The sequence below is a fragment of the Homo sapiens genome, chromosome 5, assembly GCF_000001405.40.
Source record: "Homo sapiens chromosome 5, GRCh38.p14 Primary Assembly".
In the NCBI taxonomy this organism is placed as follows: domain Eukaryota; kingdom Metazoa; phylum Chordata; class Mammalia; order Primates; family Hominidae; genus Homo; species Homo sapiens.
In genome coordinates, this window is record NC_000005.10 from 81,402,637 (window position 1) to 81,425,930 (window position 23,294).

General features: G+C 37.0%; 1 protein-coding gene across 91 annotated transcripts in view; it reads right to left on the reverse strand.

Moving 5' to 3' along the window:
- SSBP2 (single stranded DNA binding protein 2) overlaps positions 10,168-23,294 on the reverse strand; it is a 339,004-nt gene continuing 325,877 nt past the window's right edge. For 87 of the 91 annotated variants that reach the window (NR_174563.1, NR_174559.1, NR_174539.1 and 84 more), the window contains one exon: positions 10,168-17,897. Coding sequence is in view for 52 of the 91 variants with exons in the window: in XM_047417066.1 (XP_047273022.1) it covers positions 17,868-17,897 (30 nt within the window). In the remaining 39 variants the exon portion in view is untranslated. The remainder of the gene's footprint in view (positions 17,898-23,294) is intronic. The other 4 variants (NM_001400347.1, NM_001400342.1, NM_001400340.1 and 1 more) reach the window with 2 other exon arrangements.

Genomic DNA, 23,294 nt, shown 5'->3' on the forward strand with positions numbered 1-23,294 from the left:
GACAAATCTTTACAATGACCAATGACTCTTACCTGGACATTCAGGCATGGGGAAGAATATGGGTAAAGGCAAGTCCTTAGTAATACTGCTGAACTGCTGGATCAAGCCTTACCTGAAACCAACTGACCTTGGAGCTTTCCAGTTATGTGAACAAGTAAGTGTCCCCTATGCCCTCCCATTTTTTGCTCTAAGCCCATTTGAATTTGGTTATCTGTCAGTGTAACCAAAATATTTCTAACTGATAGACCCCCAGAATGTTTTTTAATAAGATTCTAGGCAGTCTTTTTTCCCTAAGAAATTATTGATTTTTACTCATTTTTCAGTCTCTGAGTGACATTTGTGCTGCACGTTTATAGCTCATATCAGATGACTGATCCAGCTGATAATATCACATTTTCAAGTCATTTATCTCAGATAGGTAGTGTACAAACAAAATGATGTTTGTGCCATGTAGGCTAATTTTTAAAATTGTTTTTGTAGAGACAAGATCTCACTGTGTTGCCCAGGCTGGTCTTGAACTCCTGGGCTGAAGCAATCCTTCTACCTTGGCCTCCTAAAGTGTTAGGATTGCTTGTGTAGGCCACCATGCCCTGCCACATTCTTGTTTTCATAATTAATCTGAAATTTGTTTTATCCTTAAGAGTTGTTTTTAGGTAATTTTAACTGTAGAAATTCAGCATGGTTTATCAAAATATTTTTTGTAAAATGGAACTTTATTCTACAATGTATCGAAAATTGCAAGACACAAGTACCATTGAAACAGGTAAAGGTTTATTATATAGAATGGTGAAACATAAAGAAAATAATTTTATTCTTTTTAAGGAGCCTTCATTAAGAAAACCCAATTTAAAGATATTTCTGTTTCCAAATAATTTATGTATATTTGTTGCAGCATAATTCTCCAAACATACCTAATGTAAAATACAAAACTATTTGAAACCGAATTCAAATATAAAATATATATGTGTGTGTATATATATACATACATATGTATGTACATATATGTATATGTACACATATATACATATATATGTATATGAGCTATAAATGACTGTGCTAAAGATGCAGAAACCTGAAGACTCATCAGTGCGTCCTCAAATCAGGCAGGTTGGTCAGCCACCAACAAGCCTCACCTTTTCAAGTCCTTGCCCACCAATTAAGGGAAAATGTCTATAATGAACCATAGACTAACAAAGATTTTATAAAATGACTTTCAAAGGATTTTTTCCCGAAATGCCCTATGTGATCTGGCAACTGCCTCCTTGTCCTCTTTTTTCTCTACCTCCAAAATAAATCAGGTTCTGTGACGTTTGATGCTAAACCATAATTCGGCTTTGGGCATTTTAATTAAGATATTTTTGTGAAATTCACTTATCTGTGGCATCTTTTTTCTTCTTTTTCTAAATTCATATTCTAAACATTTCAGGAACTAAAACTTCAATACTACATCAACCGTATTATTATGGTAGCTTTCTTCCTTTAAGTGGACATTTAAAGTTCTCTTCAAAGCAATGAAAAAGAATGGCAAATAATCTCCACAAGAATGAGTTATATGAATATGTTTTGAGATTTTGATACCTCTGTTCTTGAAATATCTACTAGCAACTCATTAGGTCAGAGTCTTAGAGCTTAGACATAGTGAAGCTCAGAATGCAATAAAGGGGACAAAAGTCCTGTAGACTAGGCATTAAAAAACCTTTTTAACCTTTAAGACAGAGTCTTGCTCTGTTGCCCAGGCTGGAGTGCAGTGGCATGATCCTGGCTCACTGCAACTTCCACCTCCTGGGTTCAAGCAATTCTCCTGCCTCAGCCTCTCATAAAAAACATTCTTGTTAGCCAGTTATGTGAACGGGATAAATCCACTGGGCATATGATACATTTTTTCACATTACTGCTGTCATCATTCCTTAGTTGCTTTTTTCTTTAGGATCCTGGAGTTGTCTGAAAAGATTGACATTATTCGACTATTTCTCTGGCATTTCAATGAGAATAGACTATTAACAAAGGAAAGTGAACTCAAAAATAGTAAATTAGACCCCTTAACTTGCTCGTATCAGCAGAAAAATAGATTAACAATTTTTTTTCAGATTCTTTCCCTACACTGATAGTTTTCCAGCTACTTATAAGATCTCATCTTGATATCAACAGTGTTAGATATTAACAAAATACAATAGCATTAAGAAGACGTATTTCATCATTCTACTTTATTGAGAACCTAAATAACCAGTTGAGAGTTATGTAGGGAAAGCAAGATTAGAACCCACGTTTTCTGTCTGCTGATACTGTGCTTTGTCATTCTGTGACACTACACTGCTTCTAATAAAAGGCCTTCTATTTCTTAATTTTTAAGAGTAAAAATATATCTTAAGCAAAAACAATATGTTGAAAACAAATCTCTGTGGGTTTTTTTTTCTTTTTCTAGAAGTTACACATATTTCTTAGTAGGAATACATTTCCATCTTTCTGTTTGGAGTGAGTCACATTTTAATGTTTTGTTTCAGAATTTGCATCTGAAGGGTTAATAAAGATACAGTATGGCATAAAGGCTAAACATAGCTCTTAATGCTGCTGGCGATCATCCCCTGGAATATACTAGTGCTGAGATTTATGGAGCCCCTTAGGCTCCCACAGACCCTCAGCTTCAGGGAAAGGAAGGCTCACTCCAGAGAACAATGTGCATATATTCATTCTGCTGCCCTGCGGCACAGCCCAGCCTGCTAACCTGGTCACCTTCTGCCTCACTCTTCAGTCTTAGCTTTTGCGTTGATGTACACGTAAATCACTTGGGACACAGAGTGAAATCACAGTATTTAATCAGCATACTCACTGGTCAATTTTACTTGCCTCCTTGCAAAGAAGCAAGTCTTATTTCAGAGCTCTAAGCTGTTAATTATTGTAAGCAATCCATCAAATACATAGGTTTCTGAAATATGTTGGACTATGATTTAATTATTTTCCTCAATTATTATTTTCTGCTATTTCAATTTTTGAAAGCCATACAATTAATCAGTTATAATTGGGTATGGGCGCCTCTCCACCAATCCATGACCCCCAGCGCCTGCATCAGATGTTGAAATAACACGATAAATGTGTTTGGATGAAAAAATACTGTGGTGACATGTTTGGATGAATCAAGTTCACATAAATGGTACAATAGATGGGATGAGCATGCAAGCTAACATAGCTTTATATTGCTTATGTTTACAGATTTGTGCAAGTCTTAGAAGCCTAGATACACTTACTATGCACCATATTTAAGAATTGTTGATTGAAGAGGTGGACAATAAAACAATCAAGCCATATTTCCTGCATGCAAAGGACCAGTAATTAAGGATGAAGGGGCATGCTCTCTTCCTCCCCTGCTTTCCCCTATTGTTACCAAACATTAAATATTCAAAAGCATTTGACTAAAAATGTCACTACACATTTATAATATTCCATTAAAGCTGATATAAAAAATATTAATAGACATTTGTTATGGTATTATAGCATAAAAAGGCTGTAGCGGCCGGGCGCGGTGGCTCACGCCTGTAATCCCAGCACTTTGGGAGGCCGAGGCGGGTGGATCATGAGGTCAGGAGATCGAGACCATCCTGGCTAACAAGGTGAAACCCTGTCTCTACTAAAAATACAAAAAATTAGCCGGGCGCGGTGGCGGGCGCCTGTAGTCCCAGCTACTCGGGAGGCTGAGGCAGGAGAATGGCGTGAACCCAGGAAGCGGAGCTTGCAGTGAGCCGAGATTGCGCCACTGCAGTCCGCAGTCCGGCCTGGGCGACAGAGCGAGACTCCGTCTCAAAAAAAAAAAAAAAAAAAAAAAAAAAAAAAAAAAAAAAAAAAAAAGGCTGTAGCATAAAAAAGGTGAGCAAACTCAAGATCTACCATGATCAAATGTCTACCTAATATGACATGCCTAACATTTATCAGTAGAAGTCAGTTATCATGTTTAATAAAAATAATCAGCTTGTTTTTGAACTATCATTTTCTATCAGTCATTGAACACTTTCTTGTTTCTTCCTTTAAAAACTGCTAAAACTCAGATAGACAAGTAAAATTATTTATTTATTTATTTATTTATTTATTTATTTATTTATTTATTTTTGAGACGGAGTCTCGCACTGTCGCCGGGGCTGGAGTGCAGTGGCACGATCACGGCTCACTGCAACCTCTGCCTTCCAGGTTCAAGCGATTCTCCTGCCTCAGCCTCCCCAGTAGCTGGGATTACAGGCGCCCACCACCACGCCCAGCTAATTTTTTGTATTTTTAGTAGAGACGGGGTTTCACTATGTTGGCCAGGCTGGTCTCGAACGCCTGACCTCGTGACCCACCCACCTCGGCCCCCCAAAGTGCTGGGATTACAAGCGTGAGCCACCGCGCCTGGCTGACAAGTAAAAAAATTTTAAAGAAAAGCTGAGAACACAAAGTATACAATTCCTAATAATATGTTGATAAAGAATTACAAGTTGAAAATAAAATTTGCAATAGCTAAAAGTTTCATGGGTCTCTATAGAAACCAACAGCGGCAAGGGGATTGCTGCAGGGGAGGCGTGGTGGTGGTTCATTCTTTCATTCTAACGAACTGCTACTGTGTGCTATATAGACTTGAGGAACCACCTGCTGCCTATTCAGTGATAAGTGTTTACTGACATTGCTCCTGTGAAAGGACTCCAGGGATCAATGGGTAGAGATAGGAGAAGGAATAAATTGAGAAAGATTGCTGTCAACTGGCTTGAATGCGAACACCAGGTCTTGTGGTAGAGATGAGGTATGTGGTTACCCTAAAGCAAAACATCTCATAAGATTGTTTAATGGAAAAATGGAATTCTTTCTTATCAAATGTAATCATTCATTACAGGAAAGATGAAAGTAATTGTGAGATGCCATTACCACTTGCCACAGTAGTTTAAGACATGTATTGACTTGGCTTTTAGTTACCTACGTTTTCCTGGAGTCTTTTTGTCTTAATAAGGTTCCAAAGACAATTGGACTCTGTTCTTAACCAGTGCCTAAGTTACTCCTTAACGAATAAAGTAGGTGTTTCGAGAGCCACATTAATTCTTTTTAAGCTAGTAGCTGCTTACGAAGGTGAATTAATTCTTCAATAATTCTATATAGTAGCATAACTATGAGAGAGAGAGAAAATGAATTAGTCTGTTCTAACATTGCTCTAAGGAAATACCCAAGATTGGGTAATTGATAAAGAAAAGAAGCTTAATTGACTCACAGTTCCTCATGGCTGGAGAGGCCTCAGGAAACTTACAATCATGGTGGAAGGCTCCTCTTCACAGGGTGGCAGGAGAATGAGCATTAGCAGGGGAAATGACAGACGCTTATAAAACCATCAGATCTCGTGAGAACTCACTCACTATCACGAGAGCAGCATGGGGGAAACTGCTCCCATGATCCAATCACCTCCCACCAGGTCCCTCCCATGACACGTGGGGATTATGGGGATTACAATTCAAGATGGGATTTGGGTGGAGACACAACTGAACCATATCAGAGAGAGATAGAAAAAAAGAGAGAGAGGGAGGAGGAGGAGGAGGAGGTGGGGGGAAGGGAGAGAGAATGAATTGCACTCACAAAAATTATGGGAATTTCTTAATGAGCAAGTTAGGTTTCACTTAATCAAGATAATGCATGATTGGCTAATTTCTTCACTGACTTTTAAGCGTATTTTCCATGTACTCTTTTCACTGTGAAACGAAAATGGGCCTTTTTTTCTGTCCCTTTTTTGAAGTTTCCATCCTGTCTTCCCATGTTAATTGAAGCTCTTTTGCCTTAAACATGGCTTGAGAAATGAGTCCTTGTTGTGATGCAGGTTGTCAAGCTGCAGGAAAAGGAGTGTTGTGCTCACAGGTAAGCAAATAGAATTCTTGCAAAGGAAGACAGAGGAGCCAGCCCTGCAAACAAATGGTCCTTTGCAGCAAGATTCCTCTTCTGGCCTCATTCTTTCTGAATTTAAAGGTCAGAGGAAGCTTCACACAGCCACTTTTGTATCTCAGTGCCCTGGCTAAATGTCTCAGGAGAATAAAGATATCCTAATAGGAATGCAATTTTACAATTCTGGGCTCGCATTCCAGAATTGTGCAGATTGCTTTCCAGTTGAAACAGCTCTACATACAAACATCCTCAGAAACCAGTTCTTTTACATCTCTCATCTGTCTTACAATTAAGTCTGAACATTTTAAATATGCTTTTAATACAATCACTGAAAATAAAAATCTGTAGCCAAGTAACTAATGAATGTCTTGAACTCTAAGCACATTCTGAATATTTAATTATCATTTAAACAAATGAGAAAATATAAATTCAATTTGCAAAATAAGAAAATATTTACTCAAGAGTTTGAAAATTGAAACAGATTAATAAATCAGTGCACATATATACTCTCTCTCCAAGGCCAAAATAACTGAGGATTTTTTTTCTTTGCAACTCTTTTGGTGAAGTCCCTACTTTCTCAACTCTTATACCTTTTGTGTACAGGTTTTTCTGCCAGAAATAGATTTGAAGTGTTTTAGTTGTCATTTGTATCTGAAAATGGTTGGAATCATGTAGCTTATTTTTGGCAAGCAGAATCAAGATGATCACAAAGGGATCTATATTATTAAGCCTGCAGCATACATTTTTACCTTCAGCAGGAAGAAATCCCCCAAAGTAGGTTAGGAATTTACTGCATGCATTTAACTTCTGAACTGGAAATTTATGTGGCAGTTCAGTGATTAATTATTAATCTTGGTAAATGTCAATTTCTACTCATTAGGAGTAAGGACATCTATTTTTGCAATTCAAATGGAAATGATTTCTGATTTAATCACTTGTCTGCTCCAAAGCTCCTCTTCAATTGGATAAGTTCACATATTTCCAGTGCTGCTTTAATTTACAAGTGGGGTGAACAGAACCTCATGTTTTGAGGCCTGATGTAAGGCTTGCTCAAGTCATAGTGAACTTGATGAGAATCAATAATGCCAAATAAACCAGAAAGATAGTCAAATGAATGTGAAAGTTTTTTGAAACATATACCTTTGCAATCTGTATTTCACGTCTTCTAAAGCGCCTGTTTCCAGGGCAAAACAGCAAAATACTTCTGGTTACTTGAAGGAAAAAAAATTCACATTAGTTATTAACTTTTGCAAATGCATAGTTCAGTAACTCTCTTGCACATAAACAACAGGCAAATCTTTTTAGAACTTGAAAATACAGTAGGTAAATACCTTTCCAAACAAGGTTTTAAATAATCCGGGAAGTGAAGTAACCAGAGATAGCTTGTCAGATTTCTATTCACCCTGGACCATTTCCCATCTGAAATGATTTAAGAGGCTCATTTTAGAGATATTCATGACATTCAAGTTCTACAGAGATTTGGACTTTGAATGCTTTACATTCTACACAGAGCTTCCTATGACCATGTAATTCTGCAACCAGATATCTTCCGGCAAGATGACAATTTCTGAGAAGAGCCTGAGATTACTGTGCTGCCTATTTGAAATGGTATTTTTGCTAAATGGATGGAATTTTAAACTCTGATGATGCAATATTGAGAATTTCATTATAGTCTGATTTTTCAGAGATAACTTAGAGATACTGACAGTGGATTTACTAATCCACCTTTGTTGTAAATTAGATATGGCTTTTATGTTAGTTTTGATTTCGGTTATTTGGTTCAGATTTCTTCTTATAAGTACCTGTCATACTGAGCATTTTAATTTTGAATTTGGGCATTAGTTTGAAAACTTTTATATGAGAGGGATCTCTTGCAATAGCTAGTGCTTCTATTTTCATTAATACTTTTATATGTGGCATATTCATACATACATATGTATGTATATGTGTTATGTATGTATGTATATGTAAAAGTGTTTTTTATGAAATGTATTATGTTTTTTATCAAATGTTCATGTTTTTTATGACACAGGGTCTTGCTCTGTCGCCCAGGCTGGAGTGCAGTGGCACAATCATAGTTCACTGTAACCTTAAACTCCTGGGCTCAAGTGATCTTCCTGCCTCAGCCTCCCTAGTAGCTACTACTACAGGCACAGGCCACTATGCCTGGCTGCCTTTTTAAAAAACTTTTTTGACAGGAGTAGGGGCGGGATGCGGCCAGGGTGGGGGCTCCCCATGTTGTCCAGGCTGGTCTTGAATTCCTGGCTTCAAGCAATCCTCCTGCCTTGGCCTCCCAAAGTGCTGACATTACAGGTGTGAGCCACTGCACCTAGCTATGGTTTATATTTTTAAAAGTGTTAACTGATTTATCTTTTTGCAATGGATTAAAGTTCAGCTCTCTGTGGGTTTTTCATTGAATCAAAAAATGTGCCTAGGTAAGTACTTCTCAAATAAACATGAAGTAAATACTGCGTATAAAATGTGACTAGTAACTACTTGTTGTAATAGTATGCTGAGTTCTCAAAATTAATATCACTTTCAATGATATACGTGTTCTGTTAAAGCACTTTTGAGACCATTATGTCTATATAATATCCCTTCAGTCAGAAGTGAATAATGGCTAACCTGATGACAAAACAGTAGCTCTGTAATATAAAAGACTATATAAAGAATACATTTGACTTTTCAATTCATAAACCATTTCTTTCTCTGCAACAAATGTGTACATAAGTAATGCTGAATTCCTTAATATAACAAATACTAATTTACATAATACACATGATTACTGATATTTTATTGAAAGCACATTTAAAAGCAATTTTTTTTCCATGGGACATGACTAAATATCAAGAGTTCCATCCCTATTCCCATCAAGAACTGTGAGTTGTAGGATGCAAAGACAATTTTGTGAAGAAAATTTGAGGTTGTTATTCACTGAGAAATGCAGCTACAGCCAAGCAGTGCCCAACATTTACTTCAAGGGAAGCTTCCCAAACTGAATGTGACAACTAAACATTTATAGTGTCAACTTGGCTGGGCGCGGTGGCTCATGCCTGTAATCCCAGCACTTTAGGAGACCGAGGCGGGCAGAACACCTGTGGTCGGGAGTTCAAGACCAGCCTGACCAACATGGAGAAACCCAGTCTCTACTAAAAATACAAAATTAGCTAGGCATGGTGGCACATGTCTGTAATCCCAGCTACTCAGGAGGCTGAGGCAGGAGAATCACTTGAACCCAGGAGGAGGAGGTTGCAGCGAGCCGAGATCGCGCCATTGTATTCCAATTCCAGCCTGGGCAATGAAAGCGAAACTCCATCTCAAAAAAAAAAAAAAAAAAAAAAAAAAAAAAAGCAGTGTTGACTCAACACAGAATTTTCTACAAGGCTACACCATATTCTCATCAGACAATTTGTGTAGGGAATAAAACATCTAGAATTTCTTTAATTTTTATGACTCCTTGACATCAAGGGTTTCTTCACTTTTAAGGATACACTGAGCCATGAGAACAAACCCTTGATTACTCAGATTGCTTGGGGGCTGGGTCTGCAGACACTTTCATCTCTTTCTCCCTTCGTTTTGGAATCTTTCACTCTTTGTTACCTCATTCACCAAGAGGAGCTCACAGGGATTAAACCAATTCTGTTGGCTTTTATTTATGCATGCTACTCCTTCCCTGAACCTACATAATGCTACCACCACTAAGAGTCATTTTTGCACAATTAGAAATAATTTAAATAATAAGTTCCAGCAAAGTTCTTAGTTCTACGACTTCTACCTGTTTTAAAGTCAGGGACTTATCAGTTGCCTTGCTATCTACCCTCTATCCCCCAGTAATCCAGACACCTTGCTAAAATTGCCTGGCGAGTTATTTGAGGTAATCTTTGGCTCAAACTGTCTGGCCAATGGAATTTATAACATTTTTGTTTCTAATCATTATGTACAAATGTGCTGTGTTATTGGACTAGAAGATTCCACTTGGATCAAAGCCATAATAAATAATGTGGAACCATTATTTAAAAACTGATTGAAAAGATGATTTATTTCTATTGATATCTAAGGATGAATCACTAATCTCAATTGTAGACCCTCCTCCTCCTCCATTCTCATTTATCTGTATACTAGCATGCAGCACTTACTTCAGAATCTTTATTTGGGCAAATGTTCACGGTGAACTGAGGCAATCATCTGTATAGTTCATGAGAAAGATGAATGTAATTGAGGAGAAGCATAGTTTTGCATGAATTACCTGGATAACTGCTTCAGATACTCACATTATGTATAGTCATATTTGCAGTAAAATACCAAAGTTTAATTCATTAACATATCTATTTGCTAATAACATTAGTTTTTTTTTGGCATTCCATGTTTAGTTATCTGACCACATAGAGCCAGCCATTGATATATGCATTGTAGCCTCTTCTTCCATGCATATAGATCCTTTGATATTAGAACCTCCTGAATTTTATATAAGGCATAATGTCTAATTCAATTATATACACAGATGTCCACATTAGTTATATTTTGATGTTTATGCTGGCTTCATACAAACTTGACTTTTTCAACAAGTAATGAAGTACAGGCTAGAAATGAAAGGGTAGGAACTGTATATGAAAAGCTGTATTTTAAAAAATTAAATGTGAAAACGTGCCAAATTAAGGGTCATTTATGTACATCTTTATGGCAACTTATCCCATTACATGAATAGCTCAAGTACTTGTACAAAAACACTAAATTATAAATCCATTTGAGAATAAATGCAGTAATGTGCACATGCACGCACACACACATACACGAACACACATACACAGATGCTAAATTTACAAAATGTGTCAGGTAGCTGGTGGCCATCGTTGAATTAAGAATAGTAGATTACTAAGAGTCATCCCAGATTCCAATTATATTTATACATAAATTGTGCATTTATAAAAACCTTACAAATACTTCTATTTTTCCAGGAAGATATTATAGGTAACAATTTAACACATGTAGTAAGAAAACGTCTTAAATTCGGAAAATCACAACTAGGTTAATTAAACAATTCAATACGTTAATGGCTATCATAAGTATTCTATTTATAAAGACTTTACCATTTTTTATGCTGAAACAGCAGCATGTCCTTTAAATTATTCATTCTAACATGTAGTTTGTGTTTTAATTGTCTTAATGCAAGGAAAGTAAAACAGTTTGAAATATGATAGAAAGTATAAACACATTTCAATCAGTAGTTTATATTAAGAAGATTTCTAAGATGGTGCTAAATTTAAAGTAATTTGTTGTCAAATTATGGTAACTGTACAGATTATTTGAATTGTTTTTTAATAAGTAGATGGCCAATTATATTTAACTGAGCAATTTTACCAAGACATGATGGAAAGTTAGCTGACAAATATCATATTGTGTTCTGAGTACTGTGAGGAATCCAAATTTCACTCTCTTGGCAATGTACTGAGGCCATTTGGTGGAAAAAAGAAAGTGGGATTAAGTGTTAATATTGACTAGGAGTAAGTCCTTTACATCATTTTTTCTAGGAACATTAATAGTTGCCTTTGTTATGATAATGGCACATCTCATTTTAAAAATGAAATGCTAAATATGTTAGAAACAGATCACAACATTTTAATGACTGGGATAAGCAAAATGAGTCCAACCTTTATTCTGATAATAGCCAGTAAATTTGCAAAGAGAGGAGACAAACTGTAATTGTATACATAAAAACACCTAGTCCCACTTTAAAATTTTAATATCTATATATAGTACTGTATTTAATTTTTAAAGATGAAGACAGCAAAAATATTCACATTAAAATATCTTACAGAAATCATTATTCTTCTATTCAAGAAAACCAATTATACTAAGTTAACAGGGAAAATTTAACAGAGGAAATTCTCCTTGGGACACTTATTGAACTGAGGATTTCACTTCATAGTTTAAAAAAGTAAACAGGTCTCAGGTGTCTTTTTCATGGGTAGGTCACCTTATCAATCTGAATTACAGTTCATGGGTAAAGCTAACTTTTTTTGTGTGAAATAAGTTAATAATGCCAATTCAGTTTCTTGTAAACAAATGTCTGTATCAAACCACTATAATTACTGTGTAACACCTTGTAGTATCAGTGAAGTGGCTGAGAATTAAATGATCACTTATGCCCTTATCTTTAGATACAGTACCTTCAAAAGAAGGCCTAATGTGGACAAGCTAACATGGGTGTGCTAAACCTACGCACAGGAGACTCCATCTGCGTATGTCTTGTATTACTCTTTCCATCCCAAATAACTTTCATCAGCTGTTTTACCACTGAAATGAAAAGTAGTCAAAGGAAATAATTATGTTTAATCATTATTGGTTGTGCTATAAAATAATGTGAATCACAGTGGGAGTGTTTTGTGAGCAAACTTCATATTACTATTCCCAACACACACACACAGGTACACGCAACATATTTAGTATGCAAAATGGAAGTATTATTAATAGTGGTTCACCATTCTTTTACTTTTCTAGTTATTTCTCAAGGTATGGTTCACAGACCCAGGGAGACCTTTACACATGCTTAAGATTGGGTACCATTGCTTTAAACAAACACAGCCTCTGGCTCCTCATAGCAAACAATAAACTTATTCCACCAGGAGGGAAAAACAGAAAGAAGATTCAACTACTTTTGGCAAATATATGGCAACCTTGTCCCCCATACTGGATTACTCCCTCCCATACTATACATTCACTGGCCACTTGTATCGATTAATGTTTTCAAAGACAGAGAACTACAGTTGTCCCTCCGTATCCAAGGGAGACCGGTTCCAGGACCTCTGCAGATACCAAAATCCACAGACGCTTAAGTCCTTTATATAAAACGGCATAGTATAACCTATGCACATCCTCCAATATACTTCAAATCATCTCGTTTACTTATAATACCTAATACAATGTATTATAAATGCCATGGAAATCATTGTTACAATGTATTATTTGTAATTATTGTTGTATTATTGGTTTTTATTGTTATAAAAATTTTTTCCAATATTTTTTATCAGGAGTTGATTGAATCAGGGATGTGGAACCTGTGGATATGGAGGGCCAACTCTATTGTACAGAAGACATAAAAAAAAAGGAAAACCTGGGCCAGGTACGGTGGCTCATGCCTGTAATCCCAACACTTTGGGAGGCCAAGGCGGGTGGATCACGAGGTCAGGAGATCGAGACCATCCTGGCTAACACGGTGAAACCCGGTCTCTACTAAAAATACAAAAAATTAGCTGGGCATGGTGGTGAGCACCTGTAGTCCCAGCCACTCGGGAGGCTGAGGCAGGAGAATTGCATGAACCCGGGAGGTGAAGGTTGCAGTGAGCCGAGATCACACCATTGCACTCCAGCCTGGGTGACAGAGCAAGATTCTGACTCAAAAAAAAAAAAAAAAAAGAGGAAAACCTGATCAAGCATAGTGGCTCATGCCTGTAATCCCAGCACTTTGGGAGGCTGAGGCGGGCAGATCACTTGAGGTCAGGAGTTCCAGACCAGCCTGGCCAACATGGTGAAACCCTGCCTCTACTAAAAATACAAAAATTAGCCTGTGACGCATGCCTGTAATCCAGCTACTCTGGAGGCTGAGGCAGGAGAATCTCTGGAACCTGGGAGGCGGAGACGGCAGTGAGCCAAGATTGTGCCACTGCACTCCAGCCTGGGTGACAGAGCAAGACTGTCTCAAAAAAAAAAAAGAAAAAAAAATTTAAAAAAAAGGAAAACCAGTGTCAAAACACTAAAATGCATTCCAAAATCAAAATCAAGTGGCTATGATTTGTGGCACTCCTTCGAATTAGCAGTGATAATCAAGAAATGAAAATTGCAATTATTTCTCCTGGGAAAACTACTCTTAGTACTATACACTATATGCAGATGAAAATGGTAAGGGCTGAGAAGGTAACAGTGTTCAGTTGGTATTTTATTTCTCCTGGAAGATGCAGGGATTGGGAGGGAGGCAAGGATAAAGCCACGGAAGAAGTAATCAAGACTTCATAGTATTAAGGACGGTGGAAAACTTCCCCAGCCAAAGGAGCAGTTCTGAATGCTTTGCTATACATTCCTAGGGACAATATGATGAAGAAAAGATATAGACAGATGTGGGACTTCTTCATGCCCCAAACTGAACTTACTTATTTTCATTTGTTGTCTTTTAAACCACAGAAGTGCTAACTGAATAACCCTATGAAATGCAATGGAGTTCAGATATCTTAGAGAATCATAAAAATAGAAATGGAAGTTTTATTTTATTCTGGAGGGAAAGGGCTGTTTTGGGCACTTTTCATGGCTGGGGGAGCAGAATTGATTTACTTGTTAATCTTTTTGGCAATTGAGAAATCTTTTCTATTTTTGAGATGGAGTCTTGCTCTGTCACCCAGGCTGGAGTGCAGTGGCACAATCTCGGCTCACTGCAACCTCCGCCTCCTGGGTTCAAGTGATTCTCCCGCCTCAGCCTCTTGAGTAGCTGGGATTACAGGCAGCCACCACCATACCTGGCTAATTTTTGTATTTTTAGTAGAGATGGGGGGGTTTCACCAGGTTGGCCAGGCTGGTCTTGAACTCCCGACCTCAGGTGATCTGCCCACCTTGGCCTCCCAAGTGCTGGGATTACAGGCATGAGTGCCCAGGCGGCAATTGAGAAATCTTAACTTCGGATTCCTAGCTGTGAACTTCCTCTTTATCAGCAACTGACTCCATACTGGAACATTTTCAAAGGAGTGCTAATAAGATTCACCCATCAAATATGTGTTGTATTACAAGATCAATGACACCCTACAGCCTTTGTTCCCATGGGCAACTTTGCTGTAAGACACGTAGTTAAGAATCATACATACCCTCAGAAAGAATTTGACATGTATTTTCAAATGCAGTGAGTTAGGCAGAATGCAAAGCAGAGTAACAAGATTTTACCTACTGCTTACTTTTTCATTTTACATGTGTATTTAATATGTTCAATGCAGCAAGAATTGCTGATATTATTACTGTGAGATGACGTGTAAAAATAACACTAGGAACAGGTAGTATACATCAAGACCAACACGAATGCATTGATAAAGATGGAAAACACAAGAGAAAAACATTAAATAGTCTTATTACAAGAAAAAAGGATAAGGGTTAAATGATTCAAAATCTAAACAAAAATTAATATACAGATATACTGTCTTCCATTCAGTGCATGAAAGAATTATCTGGATATAAAAATCAAGTATCCTTACATTCTGGGTTTCTTGGATACAATTTTCTCCTCAAAAATAATTTTTCAACTATTTCAGGAAATTTTTAAATCTAAAATAACTCTTTTTAATCTGGGCTCCAAGAAGAAAAAAGAAATAAATACTTATAATCAATTGACTGCTCTGCCTTGAAAAAAAAAACGAATTTTACTTTTAGGTTAGAAATAATGGGGATCATGATGCAATTCATATTCTCGTATTACCCCCAAAATAAGGGTAGATAAAATCATATTCATCATTCTTTGTGATAAGAAATAATACCTTCTCAGAAGGCGAAGAAAAGAATTTCAAGATCGGTAACAATGGAGAAGAGTCAACAAAATATTTGAAAATTCTAGCATTATAAGATTAAGCTTAATAATCAAAGGACTGTCAATTTTTATATGATTGTCATAAAATATGAAAGTCAAAATTCTTCTTGGTAAAGTCAGGTGTCTGGACAAACTATCACCTTCATTCAGGTTACCCTGGCTTGAGGTAAAGACCTTTTCATCTGAATTTGCATGAAAGGTTTCTGCAGCTTGACAGCATGAGGCTGTTCTCCGGTGTGCACTCCTAGGCACCTGAATACTGTGTGTGATTAACTGAGGCTCATTTTATGATAGTTTAAATCTGCAACATAAATTTAATTCAGCTTTTTTTTCTCAACAGTTCTGCCTAGTATCCCTGTTTAGGCACAGGCAAAATCTTTATTTTTACAAGGACTAAATCATTATGAATTTGAGAGAAGTAAGTCATCAGGAACTAGTACATACAGTCATATGTTACTTAATGATAAGTATACATTCTGAGAAATGCATTGTCAGGCAATATTGTCCTTGTCTGAACATCATAGAGTGTACTTACACAAACCTAGATGGTATAGGCTCCTACACACCTAGGCTATATAATATAAACTATTGCTCCTAGGCTACAAACCTGTACAGCATGTTACTGTACTGAATACCAAAGGCAACTGTAATACAATGGTATTTGTGTATCTAAGCATAGAAAAGATATGCTAAAAATATGGTATTATAATCTTATAGGACCACTGCTGTATATGCAGTCTGTGGTTGATTGGAATGTCATTATGAGCTGCATGACTATATCCTGCCAAATTTTCACTTTAGAGACTATAAGCCTAAAGGAAAGAGAAGATTCCTCTTACCTGCAATTAAACAATGCTTTTCAAAGTCTCTAGAGTTTGGATTCATAGTTGGTATTTATCAATGGTTGTTTGTATCACAATTTTAACACAAAGGATCACCCAGTTATCTTTCAGAGTCTAAAATTAAAGTCTTCATATCTTTCTATTGTGATTTTGGTGTATGTATGTATAATTAAGCACAAAATCCCAAAAGATCTGGAAAGTGCCATAGAGCAAGGTGCTTTCCATAAGGGAATTAGATTAAAAAAAATTTACTTATTCTTTTTTGAACAGTCAGTTACACAATGTAGTTTTAGCCTGCTGAAGTCAATGGCTAGATAAAGCAAAGTTACTATCAATGATTTGCTCCTGAATAAAAGCCTTATATTCCAGGAACAGAGCAGAGGCTCCCTGGCCAGTGAGAACCAATACCAGTCAATTCTGCTGGTAGCAAGCAAGATACCTGGATAGAAAAGCAGCATTCCAGAGGCCTCAGGAGTGCTAATAACTCTCTTCTCCCTTGTGCTCAAAGTCTCCTTCTATGTATTTATTTCTAGTGTCTATAAGAATATGCTCACAAAAAGTCTGAATAAAAACCAGATACCATTTCACATTAGTATGTTATTAAAAATTTACCTCTAGTACTCCTGGTGAGAAGTGACAAATTCAAGCAAATGCTTTTGTTATCACTTTTGGGCTTCATCATGTTAAAGAGAAAAGATGTTGCTAAATATATGACAACCCCGGTCACTTTATTGCTATGGTCTAAATGATTTGGGCTATTTAATGATTTCTGTATCATCTAAGACAAACAAATCAAGAACTCCGTTTAAAGCAGTTATTGCAGAAATATACTGTGTGAGGCCCCAGTTAAGCTTTTACTGATTTGAAGTGTTTTTCTCAAATAAAAATTAAAAAAATACTTTTCACTGAAGGTAACTGAGAAATTGTTTGATTCAACATAAAGACGAAGACACATTTTCTTCTATTTTTTGAGACAGTACACTTTGTGATTCACAGGATAACTTGCATCAGACGCAATTTAATGAAAGCTCTCAAATAAGCGATTTTATTCCTATCCATGATTGCAGACATTTACAAAACCATAACATCTGAGTTCACCTTAAAAAATAACTTATATAAAGCAGTGATATACACAGCACAAAATAGTTCAGGGAGGGGGCAGGAGCAACTTGTAATAATTAAAATGTAAACGTGAAAAAAAGGATGGAATAAAAGTCCCTACTTATTTCTACTTAAGATGTCATGTGATAATATTTTACAATGTCCTGTGGGTCAATGTATGTATGTGTATATGTCTGTATAACATACACATATACAGTACATTCTCTTTCCCACACATATACATACACACATAATTATTTGCAGTTCAGTTTAGGGCAATTCTAATATGCCACTCCGTACAGTTGTTTGAATCACATTTGGACCCGCTTTCTTCACAAAAGAGGGGAGAGAGCAGGAAATAAAAAGGTTGGTTTGGTGTGACTGAGATTCCTTTGTTTAACTGTACACTGTGATGAATAATTTTCTTCCGTAGTAGTTCTGTGAAGGGCTGACTCACTGTGGTTTTCATGAGGAGACTTGGTAATGGATCACACGCTCATTGTCATGCTAGGGGAGTACTAGAAGGAAAGAAGAATCCATATTTTAACAACAATTCTTTTAGAGATCACTAAGGTTCTTCTTGGTACAACAGAAACGATGAATTCTAATTTCTTATCATCTTTTATGTGCAAGCTTTTCATCTCATACAACATAAAATAAGAAACTATAAAAAAAGTAAAATGATACAGACTTAACTTAGTACTGAAATTTTAAATATTTCCCCTGGAAAGCATCAAGTCCTATCCTCTCCCTGCACCCAGAGGCTCATCATTACCCAGTCCCTCTGCCTCCCTCCATCCAGACAGATTTATGTTTTGCAGGCACTTGTAAAAACCTTTGGTAAATTTAGTCCAAGGCTGGATCATAACTAAGTAAGTATGAGGTCTAGTCTTTGCTGTCTACTAGCTTGTAAACTGAGGAGGCTACCTAACCTGTCTTGACTTCAGTTTCCCTATCTGTAAAGGGGCTTGGGGAAGATGAGATATAAAATCCTTAAACCATGTATTTATTGAATACACAGAAAGTGCTCAGCAAGTGTTAGGTTAATACTGTAGGGAAACAAAACAGAAACAACTCCAAGCTGGCCCTGGGAAGCTCTCATTAAAGCATTTAAAATACTTAAGAGTCTAATTTATACTTCAGCATTTAAGCATCTTGCCCATAATCTGTGACTCTAATCTTTTTTGTTTGTTTGAAACAGGGTCTCACTCTGTCACTCAGGCTGGAGTGCAGTGGTGTGATCTCAGCTCACTGCAACCCTGACCTTCCTGGGCTCAGGTGATCCCACCACCTCAGCCTCCCCAGTAGCTGGGACTACAGGCACACGCCACCATGCATGGCTAATTTTTGTATTTTTTGTAGAGATGGGGTTTCACCATGTTGCCCAGGCTGGTCTCAAACTCCTGGGCTCAAGCAATCTGCTCACCTTGGCCTCCCGAAGTGCTGAGATTACAGGCGTGAGACCCTGTGCTCGGCCTGTGACTCTAACTGTAATCCAGTCATTTTTGCACGTGAGTAGGAACATCATTGTTACATGCGGACTTGTCAGTTTGATGAGGCTGACAAATGATAAAAGGTGAGGGTTTCAGAGATTTGGAAAAAGTGGTTTCAAAAATGATTTAGAGAGAAATAAAGAGCAACTATTTTGCTAATTGTGCCATTGTACCCTCATATTCTTGGAGAATAGACTGTGACAGAAAAGTTCTACAGCAGCACCATGCAAGAGAACTTTCTTCAAAGACATACTTGTTCTGTGGTCTGTGCTGTCCAACTTGGAGGTCACTAGCCATATGTGCCTACTGAGCATATGACATGTGATTAGTGCAATCAAGACACTAAATGTTTAATGTTATTTAATTTTAATTTATTCATGTATCCACATGTAGCTAGTGGTTACCATTTTGAACAGCACAGCTCTAGACTATCTGAGCTGTGGGGAGAAGCATCTAATCCCACATGGTAATTTACTCTTTGGATGAAGACAGTTTCTAAATTAAAATGTAAATGTGGACCCTGAAATTTTTTAAACGTTTTATTGGAAACCTATGAGGACCAGGGTAAAAGGCAATTCCTTTCAACATGCTAATAACAATTGTGCCTCCTAGAAAAAGGCAGATAAAGTCAAAGGGATTGGTCCCAGGTTCCAGGAACCTAACCAGAAGCTGTGATAATCCTGGGTAGGCGAGCACGAACTTTTCAGAAAGTTGGCAGAAAGAGAATAAAATGAAGTGAATTATAGACAAGCTGAGACCGGCTGCAGAAATCAGAAAGACATATAGGTGTGTACTGATGTATGGATGGATTATAGTGTGAAAGCAGGACTCCCCAGGGAAGAGCACAGAGGGGCAATGGCTCAGCTGGCACATGTCTGGGCCAGATGTCATTAGGGCTCAAACCAAAAACATGCACTGTTCCTGAGGAAAGGTGGGTGATTAGGCCTGGAAAAGGGTCACTGGACCATAGGAAGAGGATTGTTTAATCCTATAAACATGCATTACATCAAGGAAAATCTATTAATACTTGTTAATCACTTCACAGCCTACAGAGTTTCAGTACAGGAAAGTGAAATTACATACTTGAACTGATCCTGTATGTAGGATTATAGTGAGTATATGGTGATAAGAAGGGGAGACTTTTAGACAGGTCATAGGAGAAAAAAAAATAGAGGGAAACTGCCAGAAACAAGAAAGGAGATTCAGTTTAGACAACCTCTCCCCTTGATCATAGCAGCAGAAAAGCAAAGCAAAGCAAAACCTCCAGTCATAGACAAATGCTGATGACATGGAACTGATCCCTGACCCTGTGTCAGAGGGGAACAGAGTACCATTTCATCACATCACATTTCAACCCACCATTTCATCATCACAAACATGATACCATTTAATATGTTTACTCAATTGATTCCATGCACATAATGTGATTCCACGTCTCACATTATAAACAATGACAGCATGCTTCAACTATCCAGAGCCTGCGGCTAAACAGAACTATACTTTGGTATTTAAAAGTTTAGAGGCAAGAATAAATAAAAAGAAAATAAGTGGTTAGCAAGATTTTACTAGAGTAGAAAAAATCAGAGAATATGGCAAAATGGGCACAGATAAATTTAATCTATGCTTTCCGCAGCTACTGTTATTTACAATAAATATTGGTGATTCCATCAGTCCAATATAACTTTCTGTGATGATGATGTTATAATTCTGTGCTGTTTACTGCAACAGCCACTAGCCAGAGGTTGCTACTGAGTTCATGAAATGTAGCTAGTACAATTTAGGAACTGAAATTTTAGTCGTATGTAATTTTAATTAATAGGGCAGCTAGATAATCAATCATTCTTTTAAAACAAAGATCTTATTGAGTATACTGTGTCAATAATATAAACCAGTAAAAGATACTAAGCATTTCAGAAAGGACCTCAAAGGAAATGCTTTTTAAAAATGTTTCTGGGGCTGGGTGTGGTGGCTCATGCCTGTAATTCCAGCACTTTGGGAGGCTGAGGCGGGTGGATCACGAGGTCAGGAGTTTGAGACCAGCCTGGCCAAGATGGTGAAACTCTGTCTCTACTAAAAAATACAAAAAGTTAGCCAGGCGAGGTGGCAGGTGCCTATAATCCTAGCTACTCAGGAGGCTGAGGCAGGAGAATCGCTTGAACCCAGGAGGCGGAGGTTGCAGTGAGCCAAGATTGTGCCACTGCACTCTAGCCTGGGTGACAGAGCAAGACTCCGTCTCAAAAAAAAAAAAATTATTCCAGTTCATTCATATGTCAGGTTATGTTAGGAAATAGTGTTGAAAATATAGAATAGCCTTCATTATACTATACGTTGTTAAGAGTATGTATATATGTCAAGCTATACATACGCATATACTCTATTATCAACCATTTTTATTTATTGCTATCATCTCAACACTGGCAACTGTTAACATTTTTTTATCTGTGATATTTCAAATGTTTTAAGTCAATCTTACAGAAAAATGATACTTTGTTACTGATTTGTTGGGAAGTTAAAAGAGTGAGGTTGGCCCAGGGAGGAAACTGAGTGAAAAAATAGAGAAAATGAGGGCCCAATTCAGTCAAAATGGAAGCATCAGCTCCACGCAATACAAAACAACTCAGAAAAAAGAGCAACTGGCCGGGCATGGTGGGTCACGCCTGTAATCTCAGCACTTTGGGAGGCCGAGGTGGGTGGATCCTGAGGTCAGGAGTTCGAGACCAGCCTGACCAACATGGTGAAACCCCGTTTCTACTAAAAATACAAAAATTAGCCAGGCATGGTGGCACACGCCTGTAATCCCAGCTACTCAGGAGGCTGAGTTGGGAGAACTGCTTGAACCCAGGAGGCGGAGGTTGCAGTGAGCCAAGATCGCACCATTGCATTCCAGCCTGGGAAACAGAATGAGACTCTAGTCTCAAAAATACATAAATAAATAAATAAATAAAAAGAAAGAAAAGAAAAAGGAGCAACCATCTAATAAAGTTTAATTTTTGAGTAGTACAAATAACTGTAAGATGGTATGCTAAATATATTTAGTACAGTAAAATAGTTTGTATTTATGCCTGGGTGTCTACATATGCAACGTGCTATTTACACTCCTGAGGCTGTAAAATGCTCATGTTTGGCCACCATTACTGAAACTACTTCAAAAAATGAAATAAGGGGAAATAACAAAATTTCTAGGAAAACTCACAGAATGGGCAAGCAAAAAGGAATTTTGCTATAGATTACTATTCTTCAAAGTAGTAGAGAAGTGGCTTACAATTTTCCAGAAGTAAAGGAAGAGTAGGTGTTAAATGGAGTATCATATTTAGAGACATAAAATATTCATGGTGTACTGTACTGAGACCACACTTCAATGTTTCTATTGTACTGCTGCATCAATATGTGATGACATATTGTAATGTTTATGCCAAAATGCTGTGATATCAGGTTGCCCTGTTTCAAAACTATTCTGAGTCTGGCTCTCCCTAACCAGATGATAAAACAGCTCTTACAAAGCAGTCAACAGCATTACAGTTTGGTTCAGTTAAAAATGTAACCCTTAAAGATATTATTTTAAATGTATACCAACTTATTTTATCTTTTAATGTGAAATGAGATAGCACGCCTTGCTATGAACTTGTGATTTTTTCCTTATTATGCCCAGTTCATGTACCATAAAATCCAGAGATTTCCATGAAGTCTTTGAACAATGTGTATAAATTTCTGTTTATACATGTCAAGAACACTTTAATTCTCACTATATTTCTGTTTAAGTGTCTGTATGATACTTTATTTTCTTAGAGAGAAATAAAGAACAGTTCCTCTACCCTGAGCTAAACAAAAGTGACATAAATTGAAATAAATTTAGTATTTATGATTACATTAAAAAATTGGGGCTGATGTGATTTCTTTACAATAGCAGAAAATGACAAAGGGGGTAAGGGAATGAGAGATAATCTACCATCTTGTTTGTAATTCCTATTTGATGCCATTATTTTAATATCATGTTTACTCAATTGATTATATTTCAGTGCCATGGGAAAATATTTTGCTAAATTAATTCAGGAAATAAGACCAGACCAGCTACTTTCTTCACTTGAGAAGCATGAAAAACTATTTTTTTTGAACTAAGGCTTTTTGTAGTCTATACTTTCCAAAACAAACATTTTACAGTTTGAACACTAGGGGGCATCTTTGTTTCTTGAAATAAAGGGTCTTGGTTGTGATCTTAAAAAAAAAAAACCTCAGCAGTGAAACATTTTTTGATTCGCATTTTGTTTTGTCAAGCATGTTGGCACCGCAAGGTTTATGACTTTGGGCTGGGCATTTTTGTTTCTATATTAATTGAATGAAGCAGCATGTGTGAGTGTGAAGAGACTAGGATAGTATCTAGTACATAAAGAGTACTCAATAGATACTTGCTCCCTTCCCAGGCCT